Source organism: Homo sapiens, chromosome 8 (genome assembly GCF_000001405.40).
Source record: "Homo sapiens chromosome 8, GRCh38.p14 Primary Assembly".
Lineage (NCBI taxonomy): Eukaryota > Metazoa > Chordata > Mammalia > Primates > Hominidae > Homo > Homo sapiens.
Window position 1 is genome coordinate 21,491,509 of NC_000008.11, and position 4,969 is coordinate 21,496,477.

Here is a 4,969-nt window from a genome sequence, read left to right on the forward strand (position 1 = left end):
AGCAACTCGCCTTCTCTAGGTAGAGAGAGGACCCAGGTAATGCCAGAGAGGCAGGCCTTCAACAGTCATGGTGGCCTCCGCGCCTGGCTTCTGAAAACCATAGCTAGAGGCTAGTCGGGTTTCCAGCATCAGGAAAAGAGCCTGGGGAATGCATGGGGAGGGAAAGCCAGACTCCACCTGCAAGGAACACACTCACTGAAAGCAGAGCAGGACATAATTAAGCCTAATTGTGTAAACCCTGCCATGCCTTCGAGTGAGAGGGATGCCAAGGTCTCGTGTTTCCTTCCGTTCTATGCAGCCTGTGCATCCCTACCTGAAGGTCACCCTCATTAACGTTGCCAAAAAAAGCCATCCCTCTCCACATGCACTTGTTCCACTCATAATAGGACCTCTTGCCTGCTGCCTGGGCAGATTAGGCCAGTGAATGCGTGTATGTCAGTGTGTCGGTGCGTGGGTGTCCGTGTGTATGTCCGTGGCAGCACGCGTGTCTTTCATAGCTGCATGTGTTTTATTTTCTTCGGGTATTTTATGTGCTTACATAGTCAAAATTAATGGGATCAGGTTGAGATTCAGATGACATCACATGGGTGACTCACATCTTGATAGATAGATAGATTTTCCTCCTCTGCATTCCTTTCAAGGTAACCTGGACTTGTCACACAACCACTGGGGGATGCCAGGAAGAGAGATTTTTTTCATGGACATTTGACATGGTCATTACAGTTAACAATCCTGGCTGTGGGGAAAAGGGCAGGGAGCAAAGTCCATGGCTAGTCCTTACCAGGGGCAGAGAGATGGGCTGATTAGTGGAGTCATCAACCCAGCACAGGCAAATATTGAGTACCCTGTCCGTCCTTCGCAGGACCACCAAGGGGCCACCTCATTGCAATCTGCATTGCTCTCGCTCCTGGAAATGACCTTTCTTCAGCCACCCTTTTTATGGCTCACCCTTTCCTCCTGGAAAGTAAACAGGTACTGAAGGGGAAATAAATAGTTATAGCAGCTGGAAAACATTGCAACAACAGATCAAGGTGGCAATTACGCAATCATTTCCGCTACTAGAATTTCTTTGAGGGAAATTTTCATTGGGAAAATGCAAAGCAGAGGGGCTGACTCATACTCTTTTCGACTCAACTCGCCCAGAATGCAGGAACCCACAGGTCACACTGACAAGGCAGGATGACCTCTAATTTTCAAAGACTAAAGATACCAACGAAGTCTTTCTCTCCTCGCTCTTTCTACGTGGTGTTTCTCCATCTTTGCAGCAGCTCTTTTTTCCTGGGGTTTGGGGAGCTTTTCCTTCCTAAAACATTAACTTGCAGACCCAGAGCCAAGTTAAATCAAGCGATCTAGGTTTTTAAAAACAAGCTGCTTGTTTGTTTGTTTGTTTTCATGCTAGACTAGCTCTAGGAGCAAAACTCTGTCTGTGTATACACAAGGCAGATCAGTCAGCCTTTGTCATGCAGTTTAGGGCAGTCATGGTCACCCTCATCACCTGGTAGAGAGGATACAGACACTCAGACTCCAGAACTCGAAGGGCTCTTCTGACCACCCTGTGCAATCTTCTCTCCTTCCAGGTGAGGACACAGAGAGGTAAAATAGTCACACCGCAGTGAGTGACATCTGAAGGATGAGAGTCCTGAGCTTCTGAAACCTCCAGCACTGAGCTCTTCCACACGCACTGTTCAGGATGCCTTCAACTCTCCTCAACCTGCTTAGCAGCAATAAAAATAATCTGCAGTGACAGTTTCAAGAGCTCCCTCTGGCAAATCCAGAAAAATGGCAAACTCTGCTTTTGTTGTTGTCGTTGTTGTTTTGTTTTGTTTTGTTTTGTTTTGTTTAGCAGAGCAGGAAAGTCCTGTGAAGATGAACTCAGAGGGAATGTGTAAGTTCGTCGAGGGGTAAGGGACATCTCTGTATCCTATCCAAGAATCCTGACCGAGTCAGGAAGTCTTCGCATTTCCGTCCACAAAGACCTGGCTCCATCCATCCACCCTTCCCTGCTGAGAAGTCCTGTGACTCTCTGAAGTAAGACCTCAGCCTCTGCTCATGCCCTGTAGAATCATCAACAAGGCAGATGTCCCCAAGCCCTCCCACTTTTTCTTTCTACCCTTTTGTTGTCACCCTGATCCTACCTGTATGTCACGTAAGTCCCTGTCCCCAAACTGAAACCACCTTCTACTCGATCTTCCCTGGAATCCACTCCATGCTCTTGACCTGAGCTCAGCCCCTATGTCAATATCCCAGCCTTTTATTAAGACCCGTTGCAAGCTCCACATCCTCCCTGGAGCTTGCCTTAGTTTCCCAATTGAAGCCAATATATCCTTCATTGTGTGTTTCTAGCCCTTTGTGTTTCCATTATCATGTGATAAGTGGCTCCCCAACACAGAATTGAGTTGTTTATGATGACATTCTTTACTGGAAGCTCCTTACCTGGCCTGGCCCTTTTCAGAGGAACCAGAATCTTAACTTTGATTGTCAGTAGCCTCCAACCCGGTAAGATTCACATAGAACTATATATATGTGTGTGTGTATGTGTGTGTGTGTGTGTGTGTGTGTGTGTATATATACATACACACACACACACATATACATGTACACATAATACATATATATATATATACACACATACATACACATGTATGTATGTATGTATATGCAGGTCTTTTCCTTAGGATTTTATCAAAATGACAAATAGATTGGTCAAAAGAGAATTCATACAAAGTCGGAGGGACAACCAGTTTCATTTATAGCATATAATGGTCTAGAGAGAATTATATGGCCATAGAGAAATTCTGATATCTGTCTCAGCTTCTCCACCCTGTGCGGCTAGAATAACCTTGAGCAATGGCACCAGTGGGAAGATCCCTGCCCTCTCAAGATTCTCTTCTGCTTGTGCAAAGCTGTCCTCAGAGTCAGGTGGGCCCCTTTTTCCTCAGGGCCCTTGAGGCTGTGACCCAACAGCTTGGTACTGACCTCAGTACTTTCCCTTAGTCCTCAATCTTCATCCGATTTTCTCCCCAGGCTTAGCTTTTCCCAGTGTTCCCTGCAAATTTGCCAGCTGCCTGCTTTACTGAGATGGGAATGGCCATTTGATGCTGTAACTCTCTGTCTCTTTAACCAGAGATCTCTGTCTGGGCTTCTAACAGCTCCCTTCTCTCTTCAGCATCCACATGATAAGGGAATTTTTAACTTGGTTTGGCAGGAACCCACTTCTTGAACTCTAAGGTGAAACAGATTCCGCATTGTGCGGTGCGCTACTACAGTATACTAACATTTCCCGTGAGACATGTCTACACTCCTCCCAGACACAAGAGCTAGTCAATGGTGTCGTGTGTCCCTTCAAGGCAAATACTACTTGTAATAGTACTGAGCATGTTCTGCCCTATATAATAATAATAGTAAGTCTGTCTTTTCACCGTTGATAAAGAAATTACCTGCCATCTCATCTACATATTTTTCACAGCAGTCCTATGAGATATCAGTATCCCCATTTTACAGTTGACAAAACCAAGGCTCAGAGAGGTTGCATGACCTCCATGTGATCAGATAGTAAGTGGCAGAATTAGAACACAAACCCAAATCATTCTGTCTTCAAATCCTTTATGCCACACTGCCCTCTCTTTGTAGCTTCTTGAATCTCTCTTTTCCCAAATCTTAGAGGCCCCAAGTAGCACTCCCTACACTGATACCATCCCTCATAGCATATAGGTCTTTCCTCTTCCTCATAGCACAGTAGGTCTGTATCTCCTTTAATCCACGTATGACCCCACAAACATTTACCAGGGACCTGCTCTGGAGACTGCACTAGGATAGGTACTGTGGGGCTTGCAACCTAGTTGTAAGGTTCCCAAGGCTCTTGAGCCAGTAAATAAATCTATCTCCAAATATTATTGATTGAGAGAGAGTTAAGACCTGACCCACCCAAACACCCACTTCCAGGGATATTTTCATTTTAGCAGGGAAATTCTAGCACCCACGAGGACTCCTAGTGATGGAAATTCAGACTCTGGAGTAGGCCGGTGGAGGAGACATTTGGGCCAAGGGCTGCCTTTTAGATGTTTTTGGGTTTTTTACAACAGCACTTTTCTCTCTTTGTTTGTCACACCCTCCAGTGGCTATCTACCACTAAGAGCTCCTGTGCTACTATGATGGCTGGCCCTTGCTGCTTTTTTTTTTTTTTTTTTTTTTTTTCTGATGGAGTCTCGCTCTGTTGCCAAGCTGGAGTACAACGGCACAACCTTGGCTCACTGCAACCTCCTCCTCCAGGGTTCAAGCGGTCCTCCTGCCTCAGCCTCCCGAGTACCTGGGACTATAGGCATGTGCCCATCTAACTTTTGTACTTTTAGTAGAGACGGGGTTTCACCATGTTGGCCAGGATGGTTTTGATCTCTTGACCTCATGATCCGCCCGCCTCGGCCTCCCAAAGTGCTGGAATTACAGGCATCAGCCACCGCGCCCAGCCCTTGCTATCTTTATTTCCTGCTATACTTCCAGGGCTCCAGGCTTCCTAACTTGGTTTGGAAGGAACCTGCTTCTTGAGGCAAGACCTCAGCCTCTCTGAGGCAAGACAGCCTATCCTCCCAGGATCCAGAATGATTCTCAGGGGCAGGAATTCTAAGAAAGTTCTCTTCAAGGGCAAGCAGGGCATCTTCCATGTGCCTCTGCCTCTCTGTAGCCCCTGCCAAAAGCTGTGTCTTCTGATTACAGGAAGGAGCTGCTTCCTCCTGTTTTCTAACCAGAGCCCTTCTCTGACCCTAATAACAGGGCTGTTCAAATCAGCAGCTCCATTTTATACAGCCAGAACCACACAAACTCACATCAGCAGGTCAACCACAGAGCCAGATTTAACAAGGGCAGGTAAGATTTAAGGAGAGAGATGCTGTGGAAAGGGAAGTGTGCAGGCGGTCAGCCACGAACTTGACTTCATAATGCTGTCCAGAGCTAATGCCAATGATCAGTTTTATGC

General features: G+C 46.4%; 3 annotated features.

The window, feature by feature from the left end:
* Positions 476–1,675: an enhancer, noted in NCBI's record as "BRD4-independent group 4 enhancer chr8:21349495-21350694 (GRCh37/hg19 assembly coordinates)". NCBI's record gives its function as "activates an origin of replication core promoter dependent on BRD2, P300/CBP, MED14 and CDK7 cofactors, and independent of BRD4, by STARR-seq in HCT116 cells {active_cell/tissue: HCT116}" and the evidence as "EXISTENCE:reporter gene assay evidence [ECO:0000049][PMID:35650434]".
* Positions 570–864: an enhancer, noted in NCBI's record as "tiled region #10609; HepG2 Activating DNase matched - State 5:Enh". NCBI's record gives its function as "activates a minimal TATA promoter and a strong SV40 promoter by Sharpr-MPRA in HepG2 cells {active_cell/tissue: HepG2}" and the evidence as "EXISTENCE:reporter gene assay evidence [ECO:0000049][PMID:27701403]".
* Positions 570–864: a silencer, noted in NCBI's record as "tiled region #10609; K562 Repressive non-DNase unmatched - State 22:ReprW". NCBI's record gives its function as "weakly represses a minimal TATA promoter and a strong SV40 promoter by Sharpr-MPRA in K562 cells {active_cell/tissue: K562}" and the evidence as "EXISTENCE:reporter gene assay evidence [ECO:0000049][PMID:27701403]".